General features: G+C 50.5%; 2 protein-coding genes across 23 annotated transcripts, besides 6 other annotated features; one reads left to right on the forward strand and one right to left on the reverse strand.

Annotated features, from left to right (window-relative positions):
* Positions 409-609: a silencer, noted in NCBI's record as "peak3631 fragment used in MPRA reporter construct". NCBI's record gives its function as "represses an SCP1 promoter by STARR-seq MPRAs in K562 erythroleukemia cells {active_cell/tissue: K562}" and the evidence as "EXISTENCE:reporter gene assay evidence [ECO:0000049][PMID:32103011]".
* Positions 2,129-15,329, reverse strand: SLC5A6 (solute carrier family 5 member 6). Of its 21 annotated transcripts, none has more exons than XR_007084322.1 (18): positions 15,171-15,329; positions 14,009-14,075; positions 9,800-10,332; positions 9,419-9,484; positions 9,025-9,076; positions 8,568-8,635; positions 7,892-8,046; positions 7,333-7,473; positions 7,003-7,132; positions 6,321-6,409; positions 5,775-5,887; positions 5,355-5,422; positions 4,530-4,616; positions 4,208-4,389; positions 3,892-3,995; positions 3,540-3,655; positions 2,647-3,121; positions 2,129-2,379 (listed from the first exon to the last, which is right to left on the reverse strand). XR_007084322.1 is itself a non-coding variant. In XM_047446243.1 (17 exons), exons 3-17 carry the CDS (start codon positions 10,190-10,192, stop codon positions 2,978-2,980), a joined length of 1,908 nt encoding a protein of 635 aa, XP_047302199.1. In that variant the 5' UTR covers positions 10,193-10,332; positions 14,009-14,075; positions 15,171-15,329; the 3' UTR covers positions 2,129-2,977. The 21 variants fall into 21 exon arrangements, 13 of the variants coding, with proteins under 13 accessions (XP_047302199.1, NP_066918.2, XP_006712192.1 ...); XR_002959356.2 differs by lacking the exon at positions 15,171-15,329 and adding an exon at positions 14,562-14,810; XR_001739022.2 differs by lacking the exon at positions 15,171-15,329 and adding an exon at positions 14,442-14,488.
* Positions 12,653-12,712: an enhancer, noted in NCBI's record as "active region_15494". NCBI's record gives its function as "activates an Ori minimal core promoter by ATAC-STARR-seq in GM12878 lymphoblastoid cells {active_cell/tissue: GM12878}" and the evidence as "EXISTENCE:reporter gene assay evidence [ECO:0000049][PMID:35858748]".
* Positions 12,653-13,464: a biological region, named in NCBI's record as "H3K4me1 hESC enhancer GRCh37_chr2:27432993-27433790".
* Positions 12,667-13,464: an enhancer, noted in NCBI's record as "H3K4me1 hESC enhancer chr2:27432993-27433790 (GRCh37/hg19 assembly coordinates)". NCBI's record gives its function as "activates a minimal SCP1, AML or CMV promoter by ChIP-STARR-seq in naive H9 embryonic stem cells {active_cell/tissue: H9 hESC(naive)}" and the evidence as "EXISTENCE:reporter gene assay evidence [ECO:0000049][PMID:30033119]".
* Positions 14,247-14,566: a silencer, noted in NCBI's record as "silent region_11289". NCBI's record gives its function as "represses an Ori minimal core promoter by ATAC-STARR-seq in GM12878 lymphoblastoid cells {active_cell/tissue: GM12878}" and the evidence as "EXISTENCE:reporter gene assay evidence [ECO:0000049][PMID:35858748]".
* ATRAID (all-trans retinoic acid induced differentiation factor) lies at positions 14,583-19,725 on the forward strand. 2 transcript variants are annotated; one of them, NM_001170795.4, is made up of 7 exons: positions 14,583-15,009; positions 15,719-15,840; positions 17,863-17,934; positions 18,016-18,087; positions 18,174-18,295; positions 19,065-19,162; positions 19,386-19,699. In NM_001170795.4, exons 1-7 carry the CDS (start codon positions 14,911-14,913, stop codon positions 19,488-19,490), a joined length of 690 nt encoding a protein of 229 aa, NP_001164266.1. In that variant the 5' UTR covers positions 14,583-14,910; the 3' UTR covers positions 19,491-19,699. The 2 variants fall into 2 exon arrangements, with proteins under 2 accessions (NP_001164266.1, NP_057169.2); NM_016085.5 differs by having other exon boundaries at positions 14,902-15,149; positions 19,386-19,725.
* Positions 14,757-15,006: a silencer, noted in NCBI's record as "silent region_11290". NCBI's record gives its function as "represses an Ori minimal core promoter by ATAC-STARR-seq in GM12878 lymphoblastoid cells {active_cell/tissue: GM12878}" and the evidence as "EXISTENCE:reporter gene assay evidence [ECO:0000049][PMID:35858748]".

Here is a 19,749-nt window from a genome sequence, read left to right on the forward strand (position 1 = left end):
CTCCAGCAAGACTCTGTCTCAAAAAAAAAAAAAAAAAAAAAAAAAAAGTGAGGCCCTTGAATGTAGTAGGTGATTGATAAATATACCGAACAAATGAGGTCCCACTTAGGTCTACAATTTTGTCAGATTGGTAGGGTAAGGTAGTTAACCAAGGAACAGTGCCCTTGGGTCCCAGGAGGAGGGACTAAGGAGAAGAGGGCAGACCTCGGGGCAGAGTCAACCTGGCATGTTCGGGGACTGTCCTCACTTCTAATGGAAGGATGCACAGTTCTTGGAGGACTTACAGAGTGCAGTTCTGGGCATTACTTACTTTACAATCCCAATGTTTGCAGATATGACCAATGTGGTATTTTTTATGTAAAGCCCTGGACCAAGGGCAGCAGTGAGGGGCATCCTGCTCTCAACTCTCCTACAGACACTGGCTTGGCCAGAAAATGGGTTCAGAGATCAGGCCCTAAGAATCCAGAGATGATCCCATTCCCTCAACAGTTCTTGGTGACAATCACCAGTCTCTCCTTCTTGTAGGGCTTGAGATATAAATCGTCCACTTCTAGTTTTTACAGACATTCTCAGTTTCTATTGCCTCCATTGGTAAGACCTTGTCCTAGAAGCAGCTCTACCAGGACACCTGAACCAGGAAACAAATAAGGCTTGAATTTGGGAGTCTGGCATGATAGATTCGATTACATTCCCCAAAAACAATCTATGAAGGAAAAGGGATTTTGTTGTGTTCTGTTTTCTTTTAGAGACAAGGTCTTGCTCTGTTGCCCAGGCTGGAGTGCAGTGGTACAATCTTGGCTCACTGCAACCTCAGCCTCCTGGGCTCAAGCAATCCTCCCACCTCAGCCTCCCAAGTGGCTGGAACTACAGGCTCATGCCACCATGCTGGCTAGTTTGTGTTTGTAGAGACAGGATCTGGTTATGTTGCCCAGTCTGGTCTGGAACTCCTGGCCTCAAGCAACCGTCTTGCCTCGGTCTCCCAAAGGAATCTTTTCTAAATAATAATTATAGGCTTCTTATCTTCCCATCATTGAAGTTTTAATTCACAGGACAAAACAAAATAGGCCTGAGTCCAAGGGCCCCTCGTAAAATGTTTCCATGTCCTCTTACATAGACTCACTTCCACCCTACCTAATTCAGCAAATTAAACCCTGGGGATCATTCTCCCCAGTTCTCCCTGGAGTACCACTCAGGCATGTCTGAAATATGGTAGATTCAGTGGACACACCTTTGGCCTGTCAAAGTACCTTCCCAGACTGAGAATAGATCATGACCAGACACCTGAAGTCCATACTGGAAGGAATGTTTATGTTCAAGACCAGAGCCTTGTGGAATGGAAAAAAAAATCCAGGGCAACAGGTTTAAGACCCATTAGGAGACAATATTGTCGTCATGAATATAAATGAGGCCTAGGCAGGTTGGGAGTAGCTAGTGTCTTGGCTCTGGCACAACCAGGCCCTGTTCCTCCACAGGGCTGGCCAGGGCAGAGGTGAAAGGGGCTGGGGTGTGACCGAGTGAGCTGGGGTAGAGGTAGAAAAAGGGACACAGAACATCCCAGGCCTAAGCTACATGGAGTATGAGAGAACAGCTGGAATGTGCTCTAGAAGCCCTGGGAGAAGGCCTCAGTTGAGGCTGAATTCAGATATGCCTGGGACCCGGTCTCTGTTAAGAGACCCCGGAGAGCTGGTGCAGAGCTGATGTGGGCAGCTGAACAGGGCCAGGCAGGGGCAGAGGCCAGGTGTGGGAGGGTGTGAGCACAGTGTTCTTCACAAGACCATAAAAGTCCAGCTAGAATGTTCCGTTTCTAAAATCAGATGGGAACATTCTTCCTCCAGTTCCAAAAGTAAAAATCTGAGAGCAAAAGGTTCTGGCAAAGGGAAAGTGGGGCCGGAGAAGGGACAGACTAAGTAAGCCCCAGGGGATGAGAAGCCCTAGGAGAGGGTGTGCATCTTCTACCATGGTGAGCACAACACTGTCCCCTGCAGACACAGGGACAGCAGGGACTTGAAGCCACAGCCCCCCTCCTCAGCACAGGAAGGTGACCTGTACATAGGATAGGACTCCTTATCCTCACCAGAGGATGCAGTAGGGTGGACAAGAGCAGGTGAAGACAGTACAGGAGCCCAAATTCTAGGTCCAATGGTAGTTTTTATTCCCCAGGAACAAAGATAATGTGGAGAAGAAACTCCAAAAGGAAACAGAGCACGGATGACAGAAATGACACCACGGCAGCCTGGCTCAGGAGTCAGGTAGATAGATGGCTGCTCCACAGTGGACCCGGTCATGGCCCTGGTTTCTTGGATCCACATTTGCCCCGTCTCTTAAGTGTCCATCTCAGAGGTGGAGGATGGAGACAGTGAGGTGGAAAACGTGCTTGCTCTACACAAAGACAAATGGATCTTCTATTCCCAGAGGACCAGGGACACCAAAACCTCCCTCTTCAGAATGGAGGTAGACAGATAAAAATGAGAGGGGCTTGAGTGTCACAGACAATCTGAAAGTAATAATAGGGGCTCACTGTGGCTGGCAGAACTGGTACTGAAATGGGGACTACAGGGGAAGCAGCTTCCAGTTTTATGGTGGAGAGTCAGTCCTGAATCAGGCCCTGGGGCAATTATAACCAGAGTGCTGTTTCTAGCCACTTACTTCAAAGGACTATGGCTATGTTGAATCAGAAGCCATTATCTTTTTCCCAGAGGATGCACTTCCATCCCTATTTCTGGCATGATCCTGCTCCCTACGAGCCTGATCCTTTAAAAAACAGATTGGCAAGCGACGAGAAAAACGGTGCCTCACATGCTTGAGATGTGACAGCTTCTCCTGCAGGCAAGAACCTCTCAGAACAAGGTCCTTTGGTATGAGCTAGATCATCCAGGCCTGTCCCTGCAGAACACACCAAGACTCATCCCTGTACTACAGGGTGGCCTCTGGCTATGGCCTGGCACAGTGAGGACAGAGGCGGGGTCCTGAGTCAACATCACAGGGAGGTCTCCTGGAGGATGCAGGTGGAGCTGCTCCCCTGATAGGCTGTGCCATCCAGGGCCATGGCCTCCTTGTCTCTGCTGTCCCCCAGCACACCATTCCTCGGCTTCTCAGGAAACAGGCCAGTGTCGAGGTGGTCCTGCAAACACAGAGCCAAAGGGGTGGAACTGGTGAAGACGGATGACGGGTGCTTGACAGGATTCACACAAAAAAGGTCCCCGCCAGAAGGGAGCCCAGCAAGGCTGGGTTCGGGAGGGAGAGCAGGGGGAAAAGAGGGAGGGCATAGCACAGCAGGGAGCACAGGGTGGGCTGGGGAGGGGAGCTGACTGGCCCAGGCTGGGGCTGAGCTCCTCTGAGCCCTGAGATCCTTCTGCCCACCAAGCCAGTGCAGTCCTGTGGGTAGAACCTGAGACAGCCGTGTGGGACAGCCTAGGCTTAGCTGATCCTGAGAGAGGCACCCGGGGCAGGGGGAGAGAAAAGGGGTAGAAGGGAACCTGAAGAGTCAGTGGCATCTGTGGAGAAGGGCAGGGAGGGGTCACTTGGACAGCAGGTACTACCTGGCCGTAGCTCCTGCAGTGGAGCCGCTTCTGACAGGACAACGGAAGGAGGGACAGGAGCTTTGGCAACACTGGGTAAATGGTTGCAGGGTTCAGGGACCGGCCTCGCATTCTCCCTGAATGGAAATGTGCTTCTGAGTCTCTGGGTGGAACCATCCACAGCAGCGGGCCCCATGTCCTCCCTTGGCCCCCAGAGACCCCAGCCCCCACCCACCTCCTACATCCCAGCAGAAAAGCCTGACAGCTACGGACACCCAAGAGCTCAGAGGGCAGGAGCCTTTCTCCCTAGAGTCCCTTAGGGCCCTCTGTTAACCCCTCGGTGCTCATCTGCACCGCAATCCCACACCCTTACCAGTGAGTAGACTGACAATCAGGCCCACCACAATCACTGTGGTGGAGTTGTGAGCACTGTACCATAAGTAAGACAAGGAATAGAACCGCTGCAGCCCTGTGGGCCTGGGAAGAGCAGAGGTGAGAACAATTAGCAATTCGTTGGCAGGGCATTCCTTGGGCACCAATCTCTACTTGCCCGCATGGTCCCAGGGTCTTGGGACCCAATACCCAACATTTCCCTGGGGCCTCTGGTGGCCCATCCCTTAGCAAGACCCCTGTGAAAGCCCTCAAAGGAGGGCTTTGAGAAAACAAGAAGATAGCAAGCCCTGCCTTACTTGGAGAAGGTAGTCAAGGGCATCAGTGTGGTCACAGTGGCAACGGTTAGATTGGTGGGCAGGGAGAAGCTGGACCCATTAGAGGGAGAGGGTGGCATGCTGGAGCCCATGCTGGTCACGATGCTCCCGATGCCAATCCAGAAGGCCATGACGAGCCCAGCCAACAGGCCCACAACAGCACCCTGCCGAGACACAGTGCAGGCCTGTCACAAGGCCAGTCCTGCCAGCCCTCACGGCAGTCCTCAGCTCTCCTGGTGACAGCCCTGCCAACCCCCAGGTCCATCCTGCTACACATGACTGTGGATCCAGATGCATCACTCACAGGAGGGTTAGCACATGGAAAGAACATTCCAAGGCAGAAGAGTCCCAGCAGCGGTCCCCCAACCATGCCAAAGATGCTGATTGCTGCCTAGGAGGACAGGGTGAGAAGAAAAGGAAAAAGAACACAGACTCAGAGATGCCCAGACTCACCATAAAGCATAGCCACCAGCCATGACCTTGGAGCCCCACTTGTCAGATCTGTCTCTTCTGTGGGAACAATCAGAACTCCAGAGGTGGCCGAGCGGTGGCTCATGCCTGTAATTCCAGCAGTTTGGGAGGCCGAGGCGGGAGGATCACCTGAGGTCAGGAGCTCCAGACTAGCCTGGCCAACATGGTAAAACCCCGTCTCTACTACAAATACAAAAATTAGCCAGACACGGTGGCACATGCCTGTAGTCCCTCAGCTACTTAGGAGGCTGAGACAGGAGAATCACTTGAATGTGGGAGGTGGAGGTTGCAGTCAACTGAGATCGCGCCACTGCACTCCAGCCTGAGCAACAGAATGAGACTCTGTCTCAAAAAAAAAAAAAAAAAAAAAAGAACTCCAGAGGGCAGGAAAGGCTGCTAGGGGGCTGATGGAGAGGGATGTGTTTTGAGTTCTCTGAGGCTGATCCTTAGCTCTCTCTCAGCCTACAACATCCCAGGAATGACCCTGCGTCCTCTGGCTGCTTGCAAGTCTGTTCACAGTAAAGACGGTCCATCAAAGGGGAATCTCTTACGCCTGCCCCCCGGTCATTCCCCTCAATATAGCTGCCCTTCTCAACTTCCTGTTTCAATCAATTCCTTCTCTCCCTTAAAATTGCTTCCTACCCTCTATAGTTATTACCTGCAGCACAGGTCCCATCTGGGAGGAAATATAGGCCATTCCTAGACAAAGCAGCCCATAGCCAAAGGCTGGGGGAAAAGGACAGGAGAGGAAACAAGAAGGTGTGAGTTAACACAAGCAATGGGGTAAAGCAAGGCTCCCTGCCCAGCCAAACTACCACCTCTGTCTCTCTGGAAACAAAAGGCATATTACATCACGCCCCAGCTTCCTCCCACCAAGTCCTCACTCCTATGTGACTCAGAGACCTCCCTAGGACATGCCCTGAGATGGAAACAACCATGCATGCAGGGAAGGTTGTGTGCTTCATTAGGCAAGTGCTGAGCCCCGGATAAAGTGGGTGTTTTACAGCAAACTGATGACAATGGTCAGGATGAAGCTTAGAAAGACCCAGACTGAAGAGATGAGGAAGCATAACCCCACCAAGGCCTCTGGAAAGCATGATGGCCCGGGCTTCAGAGAACTCAGGGAACCAAGGTCGAATCAGGTCTTCCATCGTAACAGTTGCCAATGAATTAAAAGCAGAGGATATAGTGCTGAAAAAGAGGAAGAGGATGAGGAGTTGAGCGAGGCAAAATTGTCAGCTCTATGGGACTCTATGGAGGAAATGGTGTCCTAAAGCGGGGAGATGACAGGTACCACCAAGAAACCTCCTCATAGTTGGACTTGATGCCACCTCAGAGCGGGCCTGGAAGGCAAGGACACAGTCCTTTTTTGAATGTGGATATGGGTTTCATTCGAGTAGATCAATTTCTGGTACCATAAAAGAACTCTTAACCAAAACAGGGGTATCTCTGTTGTGCTGTGGCCTACAAAGATGAGCTATCCCTTGTCATGCACACAGATGGGGCAGGCACAGTGAGAAACTTAGAGGGATTCCCCACCCACTATCACCCCGCTCCACCCATCACCTTGTACCAAATAGGGGTCAGGTGCACCAGGCCTGAGGGAAATCGTTAAAGTGGGTACCTGAGAGAGCCGCTGAAGAGGCAGGCAATGAAGAGCCCTGGCAGGCCTGGCAGGCCCTTCAGGAGATCCATCACAAAGTACAGGACGAACTGCAAGCAGAGCGGAGGTACACAGCAGTCCTCAGAGAGGGGTCTTCCCAGGGCCGGCTCTGCAGGGAAGCTCCCTTTACATGTGCCCCAGCGAGTCTACCGAGACTGGGTGCATTACAAGGGAAGCCAGGGCCTGGGGCACCTCTGCTGACCCAAGTGTCTACACATTAAGTGGAGAGAAAATGAGCTCTACAGAGGGAATGACACAATTCGCCCGCAGCTCTGTTTCTGGCTACTAGTGTGACTTCTGCTTACTGGCTACCTCATTGAGTCTGTTTTCTCCTCTGTGAAATGAGGCTGTTAGAGGCTTAGGTGAGACCAGGTATGTGATAGCTCCCAGCAGAGCACATGGAGCCCAATGGGGAGTCAGTAAGGGTAGGTCCTCACCCCAGTAGGATGAGCACTGTGGTTAGGTGATGCTAGGGACCGCGATCCTCACATGCTAGATTCCTAGCATCTCAGAGTGGGAAAGGATTTTACAACCGTCTCCCACCCAGGGTGGGAGTCCTTTCTGCAGTCAGTCCTTTCCTACCTAGACACTCCTGTTGTGGGGCCAGGCCTGCCCTCATGGGAACAGAACAGCGCCTTCTCACCTGGTCTGGGGCTGCCTGAGCCTGCTGAATGCTCATGGGATACTCCTGGTAATACGCGAACATGACCAGGCCAATGAGGCAGCCCACGCAGAGGGACACCTGCTGGAAGGGGAACACTGCATAACAGGAGCTGCAAAAGAGGTCAGTGCCAGGAGGAGAGCCGGCGTTAACAGACACCCTCAGGTGTGTGCCCCTGACCTCCAGAAAGGAGACCCACATCCTGACCACAGTGGATGTGTATGCACTCTGGCATCCTGCCCCACCCCAATTATCTCTGGGGAACCCCTTCCCCTAGACCTTGCTCCACTCCCTTCCTGTCCCTGCACTCACAGCACAGCAGCCTTCTCCGTGCGGGAACTGAGGTACCGCTGCACCTGAGCCTGGTTCACCCCGTATAAGGAGAGCATCATGAAGACACCCCCGAAGGCCAAGGTCCAGAAGGTGTGCCGCACAAAGGGGTCTGGATCCAGCCTGTAACAGACACCACCCAGTCATTGTGCAAAGCCTGAGAGACACAGCCTTCCTGCCCTCTTGGCAACAGGAGTCAGTGGACAGGAAAGGAGAGACACCACTGCTAGGGCCAAGGGGGACACTGAAAGCAAGAAGCTGGGTGCACTCGAGAGACAGCACAGCCAGTTAGAGGGAGGCTCCATTCTTCCACCCCAGGCTCATTCCAGGTACTCATCCCAGGTAATGTCCTGACTCTCTATAAACACTAGCCGGGCACCTGTAATCACCCTCCATCTCTGCAGGACCAGTTTCCCACTGTCTGCTGTTACACCTCAGGCTTCCCAGTTTACCTTCTGCTTACTATAGCCAAGACCAGCCTCTAGGATGGGCTCAGCGCCCAGGCACTGCAGACCCCAGCCAGGAGTAGGGGTATACTTACTCAAACCCAGAGATGCGGCCGTGCTGGGAAGCCACGGCCCACACACGCCCCAAGCCGCCCACCTTGGCTGACCCCACAATGATAACTGCCAGCTGCCCGAGGAACATGACCAGTGTCTGGAACACATCTGTCCAGATGACGGCCTTCAGCCCACCCTGCAAGGAAAGCACAGCAAACCTGCCACAGAGGCCTTCTAAACCCAGCTTGTCCAACCTGCCTTATTTTGTTGTTGCTCCATTTTGTTTTGTTTTGTTTTGTTTTAGGCTTTTTGCAGCCTGAAGCCAGTTTTTAGTTTCTGTCTCTGGTGATATGTATAAAAGAGGGATGACGAAGGGGCTTTACTGACCCAACCAGAAACAGAAACTAAGAACCCATGACTATATTCTCTCCCTTGGACACTCCTGAAACCATCCACCCTAAGAACATACTACCAGTGAGGGGACTCTCCTGCCATTAGGCATGTAATTGCTGTGACCCTGTTGACATCATTCCCATCCCATCCTCTACCTTCATATACCATCCCCACTGCTAAATCCTATCATAAATCTTACCACCCCAGAATTTCACCTATTCTCCTCATCTATATTCTCAGCTTATCTCTTCTTTTCCTTCTCTTCCCATGTCCCCTCCTTACTTCATCCCTTCCCCTCCCCACACCACGGCTTACTGCACTTACCAGAGCTGTATAGACGGTACAGACAATGCCCAGGGCCAGCACGGACAGCCACAGATCAAAGCCAGTCACTGTAAGCATAGAAGCCACATTCTTATCCCTGGAAAAGGGTTCCCCAGGGGAGAAGCCCTGGTAGGGCAATCACGTCATGCCACAGAGATAAAGCATTGGTCATTAACAATGAAATAAATCATTCACCACAACGGAGAAAAATGTTTGCAGAGCTCCACCAAAAGATATTGACTAACCAGTTCAGATAGGGCATGGTAACATGTTACTAGCTGTCAATTGAGGTGGACCAAGCCTTCCTCTGGTAGAGACCCACCCAAGGGCCCAAGCGGTGAATTAATTCCCCATTCAAGGTCAGGTTCTTTTCCACATACGCTCCTCCATCTGCCTCTCCCAAAGGTGCTTTCCTAACCTACCACGGCTGAAAGCCAGGGGCTGTGTGACTCCTCACCTGCATTGAGAGCCAATGACGGAGCATAGAGCACAACTCCCATGTAGATCACCTGTTGCATGTGGAAAAAATGTGATGGGGGCCGGAGAATGGTGGGAAGAGAGAGGAAGAAAGATGGGCCTCAGCGCCAATATGCCCATGGCTTCCCCTCACCTAGGCTCACTTCCCTCTTCCTTCTCCTCTCAAATTCTGGCTTGCTGCCACCACAGTATCTGTGCTGGAATTGGAAGGCATGGGCAGCAGGATGCCTCTGGGGTCCTCACAGATGCTAACCTCTAGCAGGAATTTCAATCCTGCCAATCTGAGAGCAGGGGAGACTCCAATTCCCTCAGCATGCTTGCGTTCAGGTCCCCCAACATGCCCTAGGCTCGGTTTCTATCCTCATTCTGCTTACCATCTGAAAGATGAAGGTCACAGTTCCACACACTCGCACAGTTTTATTGAATCGAAGCTCCAGGTACTGGGTATACAGAAAAAAAGATTTTTCTCCTGACTTCACCCCGACAACTCACAGACAAATTCCCTCAAGATGCTCAGGAACATGAGGGAATATCCAACCCATACCCACTCTGAGTCCTACTCGGCATAGCACCCTCCTCTCCAATCCTGCCCCTATACCTAACATCACTGAGAAAGAATTATAAACACACAATGAGTTTTCTGTCCCTCTCATTAGGTGGAGGAGGTCTAGGGTCCCAGGTCCTTCCTATGTGCCTGTCCCTCCTCTCCACCCCAACCCGTGTCCCACGCACTTCTCCCTTCTGTCCCTGCTCACCTCATAGGCACTGGTGAGATGCAGGCGGTAGAAAACGGGGATGAAGATGTGTGCAGGTATCAGCAGCCCCAGAAAGTAGCAGCAGCCCAGGAACCAATATTGGGTCCCAAATCGGTAGATCTCTGACGGCACACCCAGGATGGCCACGGCTGACTGGAAGGTGGCCAGCAGGGACAGTGCCACCGGAAGGCAGCCCATTTTGCGGTCCGCCATCAGCAGCTCACCAACAGTATGCCGGCCCCAGCCACGACAAGCATGGTAGAGCCCAATGGCAAGAGAGAGAACCAGCAGCAGGACGAACACCACATAGTCCATGATGGAGAAGGTAGACATGCCCACGCTTGTGCCCGAGGTTGGGGAAAGAGGGGCTGAGGTGCTCACCCCTACACTCATATCCTCACTGTGTCTGTGATCTGCAGCCAGTTGCTGCTCCAGGGCTCTGGGGTAGGGCAGGGGCGGATGTGTGGCTACAATCTGGCTTCCAGCCACAGTCTCACAGTCTTCCTCCACGGAGTGATACTGTCCAGGGTGAGCTGCAAAGGAATTAGCTCTTAGTGAGGCCTATCTGGCCTTGGTAGCCATTCACCCTTGGGCCTTGTACATCGCATGCCATCAGAAGTGGACCAGCCAGCATAGTGGTAGCCCTTCAAGGTCTAGAGGCCCTGGTATGGGTTTGGTAGGGGACATAAGTGAGGGAGAAGCATCAGAGTGCGACAGCCAGGAGACAATATAACTTGGCCAGGACCTTTGAGTATGCACAGCTGTGAAATTCAACAACCTTCTTAGGTCTCCACCCGAGTACCAAAAGAAAAATAAACTCTAGCCTAAGTTTCTTAGCAGAATTTCCCAGCCCCACTTGAAGGCACAGACCCAGTCACTACAATACACTAAGCCAGCAGAGCCCAGCCTGGCGCCACAGCCCAGCAGGAAACACAGCATGGAGACTAATGGCAGCAGGGCTTCCCCTACTGCCCCTGGCCTCGGCCCTCGCCTCCTGTGATCCCCAGTGTCACCCTTCTAACTGATCATCAGTGAGACTGCCTCTGTGGCAGCCACAGACTCCATTTCAGGCGTCCCCAGGCCAACCCCTTTCTTAAGGTTCTCCCCAACACCACTAGATAAGTGCTGCCACCCACCTCTCAGCCCCTCTACCTGCAACATCACAGTCAACAGCAGACGCAGGAAGAGCGGCTGGATTCAAAAGTGAGAGGGGAAAGGTGAGAGGGCACCATGCTGGAGTCAGGGTTTCAGAATGACGATTCTCCATTCTGGAGAGAAGCAACCCAGTCACGGAGCTGAGAGGCAAAGGGACCAGCCAAAGAGAGTGGTCGTATCCTGCTGGGGACAGACACCTACCTGGAGAAGCAATCCCTGTTCTGAGGCAGAGTTGCCTGGAGCTGCAGAGCTGAGGATCTGGCTCTATGAGTAGCTGAGGTGAGAGATCAGGAATTGGGGGTGGGGTGAAGCTCAGCAGTCATTTGTTCTGGCCCCTTCAGGGAACCAATGGCTGTGTTCCAAATGGCCCTATCACCCTATGGCCCCCAAACTCCAACTCAGCCCTAGAGGCTCCAGAACAGGGAAGAGGGAGCTCATATTCAACAGCATTCCTAGATGGATTAGCCTTTCAGCCTAAAGTACTCTTGGCACTCTGTGCGGGAGGGAGTTGGAAAGAAGGAACTGAAAACATGGGAAAGTTGAAAGTTGATTTTCTAACTCCTGCACAAGAAATGTTAATCCCCCAAGAATACACCACAATCCTCAGAGAAAGAGGGAAGGGATCATAATATTTAAAATCTTAAATCTTTGGACACCACTATTACAACCAACCCCCCACCACTGACGATTTCACAGATAAACACGCTAAGGCTCAGATGGTTCAAGTGACCTTTCCAAAAGCACAGAGCCGACTATTGTCAGAGCATAAATTAGAACCCAGGTCTAGGGATTCACCATCCACCCTGTCTGTTCTCCAAGCGTATCATATTGTCTTCAAAGGCAATCCTCTGGGGTACTTATTGGTATGAGGAAAAAACACCAGAGAATGCCATGTAGTTACACAGCCTAACATGACGACAGTTAACATTTGCTGAACACCTGCTATGTAACCCAGCAGTGTGTGAGGTGCTTTATAAACATTAGTAATAATACATAATGAAGCTAACATTTTCAAAACAGCATGTCTCAGATTAAGACACGAATACTCTCCAGTTAACACAAGAAAACTGAGAGATTAAATAACTTGCTCAAGGTTATGCAGCATGATACAAAACAAGAGAGAGAGAAACAGTGCTGTCTGCAGCTATGACAGGTGTTCAGCAAGGGCCCTGTCCTCACTATTCCCAGAACCAGGACAGGAGCAGAGTGTTGCAGTCAGTCATTCACAGGACATAGTTTAGATTTCAACTAATCAAGAGACAGACTAACATAAACTATGTCTTCTGCTTTTGCCCACTAGGAGAAAGATTAGGCTGCCTTTCCGCTCTCCCACAGTGTGTTCTTGGGCAGACACTGGCTGGCTGGCAAGATATGGCCTCATGCAGACTAAACCTGAACTCTGAACCTCTTGGGGCCAATAAAGAGGGAAAATCAGACCTGGCAACTCTTGGATCACATGTTCTACAAGATTCCCAACAGGCTTAAACTCTGGTTTAACCTAAACATGCCCTGGGCCTTTGCACATTGCAACACCCTGAGTTTTCTCATTCGTCTTTGGCAAGTTTTTACTGCTATGATAGAGATGATGGGAACTACTGGGGAGTAAGAGGAAAGAAGAGGTCTCCTGTGTGCAAAGAACACAGAACAAAGAACTAACTATAGGGTTAGTGGTTTAGAGAGGTAGGTGGCCAGAGACAGGAAGGAAAGTCCCAGTATGGGACACGGAGGTACAGAAATAAAGACACTCTGCTGATGGGACTTCCTGATAAAATTCTATTTGCATGATGTATGGAGAATTCCCCTGGATGGCCTGAGAGAGCCCCAGGGAAGACAGGAAAAACCTGACCTAGCAACAGACCAGATTCTGAGAACAGATCTGTAGTTTTCTAAACACCCTACATTGATCCAAACGCTATGGTCTCGCATCTCTCCAGAAAGAGGGCGGCCAAAAGCAAGAGCTAGCTGTTGTTTCACTACAACTATAACATGCCAAGGCACAAACAGCAGATTGTGGGACCCCCCCCCCTTTTTTTTTGGAGACGGAGTCTCGCTCTGTCGCCCAGGCTGGAGTGCAGTGACACGATCTCGGCTCACTGCAACCTCCACCTCCTGGGTTCAAGTGATTCTTCTGCCTCAGCCTCCTGAGTAGCTGGGACTACAGGCATGTGCTACCGCGCCCAGCTAATTTTTTTTTTTTTTTTTTGTATTTTTAGTAGAGACGAGATTTCACCATATTGGCCAGGCTGGTCTCAAAACTCCTGACATGACGATCCACCTGCCTTGGCGGATCGGTGGCCTGGCCACCGCGCCAGGCCAAGTTCAGGTTTTTAAAAGGGGTCCCACATCACTGCCTGTAATCCCAGCACTTTGGGAGGCCGAGGCGGGCAGATCACGAGGTCAGGAGATCGAGACCATCCTGGCTAACACGGTGAAACCCCGTCTCTACTAAAAAATACAAAAAATTAGCCAGGCGTGGTGGCAGGCGCCTGTAGTCCCAGCTACTCGGGAGGTTGAGGCAGGAGAATGGCGTGAACCCGCGAGGCGGAGCTTGCAGTGAGCCGAGATCGCGCCACTGCACTCCAGCCTGGGCGACAGAGCGAGACTCCGTCTCAAAATAAAAATAAAAATAAAAATAAAAACCTGAACTCACTTTGGTCACACACTGCAGTGGATCGCATTGACTCCTACAAAAGGCAATGAGACCACTGCAGGACTAACTGTTCCAAAAAGATTCCCTCAAAATCTGTCCTGGGGCCTATAATTCCTCAAGGTGTGAAAGGCTTTGGGGGCCCTCCTTAAAATGCTAATAGCTACTAACACCTTAGAAAATTTGCCAGCCAGCTAAACGTAAACCTTTCAGGAACTTCCAGGCAGACACCATGGGGGTAATGTGGAAGGGAAGCCTGGCTCGGCTACTCGAGATGATCACTTGGGTCGGCTTTAAGGAGCTTTCTGGCTGGCCCTAACCAACACTGTCGCGCCGGGAGCAGGGATCCCCTGGCGCCCTTCAGTCAGGGCGCTGGCCCACCCTGGGGCAGCAACGCACTCCCTTACCTCCGTGGTTCAGTCAGAGCTAGGAAGGTCCCTTTGTGCTTCCTGAGATCAACATCGCTCCCTTTTCCTGGGAAGGCAAAGAAAATGAGTTAGGGAAGCGTCTATCCCGCTCCTACCTCCTCGCCAGGCTCCGGGACGCTATGCGCTATCAGCATTGAGGTGAAGAGGACTAGGTGCCCGGGGCGATCCAGGCTCGTGTCCTCCCGCTGGAGTTTGAGGTTTGCCCTTCCCTCATCACCCTCACCCTCGTTCTTTCTCGGTTTCCCGCTTCCCTCTACGCGGCGGAGACCACCACCTTACCGCTCGCACTTAAGATCTCAGACCCACGCCGGAGGCCGGCTCGCTCCGCCCCTCCCCGCCCCCTTGTCCCCGCCCCGGCTCAGACGCCGCTCCCCGGTGCCTCTCGGCACCGGCTCACGCTCTCCAGGCCCACCTGCCCGGTCTCCACACGTGGGTAGCCAGAGCCCGGCCGAGAGCCCTGGCCGGGAGCCCGCGGGGGCCCCGCCCCCTGCCCGCCCCCTGCCCGCCCCGCTCGCCGTGCCGCCATGTTTACTGAGGGCGGATGGAGGGGCCCGAGTTTCTGCGAAGCCGCGACCTCGGCGTCCGGACGCGGGGAACACCGGGCTGAGGGAGTCTGCAGTCGGCTCCGGGAAGCCGCGCGGCGACGGGGGAGGCCTTCACTAAAGGGGAAAAGGAAGAGGGGGTCGGCCAGTATCCCCGAAAGAGGGCTAGGGCGCATGAAGACCAGCGCAGAGCTCCACGAGCAGGAAAAGCCCCCAAGCAGCCCCAGGGCGACTGGACCGGGCCGCTTAGGCCACGCCCGGGGAAGAGGGCCTGACGCGCTGCGGGGCGGGGCCGCGGGGCCGGGTCGCGCGAGCAGCGGAGCACCAAGGGAACGGAAAATGGCGCCTCACGACCCGGGTAGTCTTACGACCCTGGTGCCCTGGGCTGCCGCCCTGCTCCTCGCTCTGGGCGTGGAAAGGGCTCTGGCGCTACCCGAGGTACAGAAGCAAGTTTGAGGTCGGGCTGAAGCAGGGTCGCTGGCCAGCCGTGCGTCGCGCTCGCCAGCGGCTCCCCCTTCTCCTCGGCGGGCCTGCGGTTCTGATTTCGTCCCTGACGCTTCCCGACCCTGCCCAGCCAGGTCCTGTTCCCAAGTACTCACGTCGTGCAGGCCTTCGGCGCCCCAGTCCTGCCGACTTTCAAAGACCTGTGAAACTTGATTTCGCCCCTTAATTTTAGAATAACTTTAAGTTCTTTCTACAGACGGGTCCTCTGCCTCTTGTGTAATCTCTCTACGCACGAACGCCATATATCGTGCGGTGGTAGGGCTGTACTTTTGTAATGCTTGATGAGTTCTTTACGTACCTGCGGTCGTTTTACACCGCGCCAAACTAGGGCTGTCAGATTGAGAAGTCTCTGCAGAAAGCATAATAAATAAGTTCGAATAGTGATCTTCAGAGATGAGGACCTTCCCTGTGCGATATCTGGTACTGAAAGTGTCGGGAGCTGATTCGGCGCAGGACTCTGGAGGAAGAGATGGCATCTCCTAGCCTAGCCTGTTACAAGGGTGGGACACGAGCCGTTTATCCATTTATCGGCCCCGTGTTAGAGGAATTCTGGAAACGTGTACTGGCAGTTAATTCTTGATCGCCGTTTGTTCTTTTCTTGGCTTTTCTTTCTGGAGTTCTAATGTTTCTTTCTCTTCTGCAGATATGCACCCAATGTCCAGGGAGCGTGCAAAATTTGTCAAAAGTGGCCTTTTATTGTAAAACGACACGAGAGCTAATGCTGCATGCCCGTTGCTGCCTGAATCAGAAGGGCACCATCTTGGGGTGAGGGGAAGACATCCCTAGATGCTGGATACAGGCCATTCCTTAGCCTGGCTGCTTTTATACCCTTATATTATTTAAAGAATCCACCTATTATGGTTTCAGCTGTAATCATCACGCAGATGTCTACCAAAACTAGATCTCTTTAGTGTCTTTTTTAACCTTTCCACACTCCAGGTACATACGGGTACCTCTAGCTTCCTATTAAGCATTTCCTACTGAGTGCACCCTAACTTCAAACTCAAAATGTTATGTTTTGCTTCCATTCTCTTCTTTCCTTCATCTACCTAAATACTTCTCTGTATTAAGCTTTTAGAAAACCAACATTTTCCATTATCACTCTCTTGCTTTAATACTATATTTAGTATTAAATTTTGTCTCAGGACAAAATTCAAACCATTAAGTACCATACTAGTCCCAACCCACTTTTCCAACATTATTTCCAATTACTTGTCCGCTCAAACCTCCATAATGGTCTGCACCAGCCAGATTTGCCTGCCCTCAAAGGCATTCCACCTTTGTTCAGGCCTCTCTCCATACCTGAAATTGCCTTCCTCTACCAAATTAGGAAATATCCATCCTTCAATTCCAACATCTTTTGTGAATATTTACTACTACTAAGTTCCAGAGTAATACCTTTTTTAAATTATTATTTATTTATTTTTTTGAGACGGAGTTTCACTCTTGTTGCCCAGGCTGGAATGCAATGGCATGATCTCGGCTCACCGCGCCCTCCACCTCCTGGGTTCAAGCGATTCAGTAATACCTTTTTTAAAAACTTCCTGTAATCTTTAGTGTCCACTCAAATATATTTATACACTGTCCTGTGGTTTCTTTTATATTGTAATTTAATGTTTACAGTGCTTTTATTTTTGGGCAGTGCTCTTGTTCCTCTAACTACATTGTAAGCCACTCAAAGGCCAAAATACTGTGTTACATATTTTTAACATTCTCCCAGTGTTTGCAGTTTGTAGGGACTCAGTAAATATTTGTAGAATAAAGGAATGGATAGCAGTAGATATTGAAGAAAAAAATAACGTGGCATGATCCTTAATGTCCAGCAGTTTACAACCAATCTGTGGTAGAAAATACATGTGGAAAAAAACTTTGATTTATGTGACTTTTTTTTTTTAATTTAAAGGCCCTCTGTGGATCTGAAAATCATAATATGAGATTCACTAATGTAGACAAGAAACACAGATTTCTCCCAATAGATGCATAACCGATTAGAACAGTGCTGGCGGATAGAACTTTCTGTGATTATGAAAATGTTCCGAGCCAGGCGCGGTGGCTCATGCCTGTAATCCCAGCACTTTGGGAGGCCCAGATGGGCGGATCACGAGGTCAGGAGTTCAAGACCAGCCTGACCAACATGGTGAAACCCCGTCTCTACTAAAAATACAAAAATTAGCCAGGCGTGGTGGCATGTGCCTATAATCTCAGCTACTCAGGAGGCTGAGGCAGGAGAATTGCTTGAACCCGGGAGATGGAGGTTGCAGTGAGCCGAGATCGTGCCACTGCACTCCAGCTTGGGCAACAGAGTAAGACTGTCTCAAAAAAGGAAAATGTTCCGTATCTGTACTAACCAGTACAGTAGCTACTAACGTGGTTATTCCATTTGCACTTGAAATACGGCTAGTGCAAATGAGACACTGAATTTTTAGGTTAAATTAATTTTCTTCTATAGAGTCAGGGTCTCATTCATATTGCCCAGGCTGGTCTTGAATTCCTAGGTTCAAGTGATCCTCCCCCGCTTGGCCTCCTAAAGTGCTGGGATTACAGGAGTGAGTCACTACACCCAGCCTAAGGTACATTAATTTAAATTTAAGTAGTTACATGTGGCAAGTGGCGATTCTATTGGATAATGCAGAATTAAAATGTCTACCACAGCTCCTAGTGTGTGACTCTGAACACAGCTGTGTTCAATTATTAGCTGAAAAGGGGGTTGTGTAGTCAAATACAAACTGTGCCGTGGCTGAAGAAAAAGAGGAACACACAGTTATATTGATTACTTTATTTCCTCAGGCTGGATCTCCAGAACTGTTCTCTGGAGGACCCTGGTCCAAACTTTCATCAGGCACATACCACTGTCATCATGTAAGTAGTTAGGTACCTCCCACCCAAAAGGCTAATATAATGTAGGTTGATGCGAAAGTGCTAACATTGTGTACTTTGCAGAGACCTGCAAGCAAACCCCCTCAAAGGTGACTTGGCCAACACCTTCCGTGGCTTTACTCAGCTCCAGACTCTGTGAGTAAGGGTATGGGAAGAGAATCAAAGAGGGATGATGCTGTGAGTTTAGCAACTTTGCATGTTATGACCACATTTCTCTATAGGATACTGCCACAACATGTCAACTGTCCTGGAGGAATTAATGCCTGGAATACTATCACCTCTTATATAGACAACCAAATCTGTCAAGGGCAAAAGAACCTTTGCAATAACACTGGGGACCCAGGTATGCTGTCTTACCTCCAAACTTCTGGGAATTGTCTTTTCTCCCTTGTATTTTCCACTTTAGATCAGAAAGACAAAGTTGCTTAAGCGCCTTTCATTCAGAGTTCTGGGGCTATAACCCCTTTGAAAGAAAAGATCTTAAGATATACTCTATTATTTGTCTCACGTGTGTCCGTGTAAAGAGACCACCAAACAGGCTTTGTGTGAGCAACAAGGCTGTTTATTTCACCTGGGTGCAGGTGGGCTGAGTCCAAAAAGAGAGTCAGCAAAGGGTGGTGGGATTATCATTAGTTCTTACAGGTTTTGGGGTAGGCAGTGGAGTTAGGAGTGCTGTTTTGCGGGCAGGGGATGGATCTTACAAAGTACATTCTCAAGGGTGGGGAGAATTACAAAGAACCTTCTTAAGCGTGGGAGAGATTACAAGGAAACTTCTTAAGGGTAAGGGAGATTACAAAGTATATTGATCAGTTAGGGTGGGGCAGAAACAAATCACAATGGTGGAATGTCATCAGTTAAGGCTATTTTCATTTCTTTTGTGGATCTTCAGTTGCTTCAGACCATCTGGATGTATACGTGCAGGTCACAGGGGATATGATAGCTTAGCTTGGGCTCAGAGGCCTGACATTATTGTTACTGTTTTTATCTGTAATTTTCTTTCTTCTTCCTTTATCCTAGCAATGATTGAGAGAATCTAAGTTGAAACAGATAATTGAGAAATATGCCTAATGAAATGGATAAAGTGATGTTCTCTATTTCTCTCTGGCCTCCAGAAATGTGTCCTGAGAATGGATCTTGTGTACCTGATGGTCCAGGTCTTTTGCAGTGTGTTTGTGCTGATGGTTTCCATGGATACAAGTGTATGCGCCAGGTGAGGAATTAGGCCGTCTAACTAGGGATACAAGGAATGCATAGAGCAAGTCTTCTCAGAAAGGAGAGCCACAAGACCAGGAGCTGATACAAATTTCCTATAGGTGGAAAACTATAGAATTGCCCTAGACAAAGTGATAGGTATATTAGGAAAGAACTAGGTGTTAGGATGTGGCCCTCCGTGTAACGTTGTATGGGGGTGTTTTTTGGTCTGTTGTTCACAGGGCTCGTTCTCACTGCTTATGTTCTTCGGGATTCTGGGAGCCACCACTCTATCCGTCTCCATTCTGCTTTGGGCGACCCAGCGCCGAAAAGCCAAGACTTCATGAACTACATAGGTCTTACCATTGACCTAAGATCAATCTGAACTATCTTAGCCCAGTCAGGGAGCTCTGCTTCCTAGAAAGGCATCTTTCGCCAGTGGATTCGCCTCAAGGTTGAGGCCGCCATTGGAAGATGAAAAATTGCACTCCCTTGGTGTAGACAAATACCAGTTCCCATTGGTGTTGTTGCCTATAATAAACACTTTTTTCTTTTTTTTTCCTCTCTTTCTTTTTAAGGAAAGGCGCCCTGCCTTTACGTGTTTCT

Source organism: Homo sapiens, chromosome 2 (genome assembly GCF_000001405.40).
Source record: "Homo sapiens chromosome 2, GRCh38.p14 Primary Assembly".
Classification (NCBI taxonomy): Eukaryota; Metazoa; Chordata; class Mammalia; order Primates; family Hominidae; genus Homo; species Homo sapiens.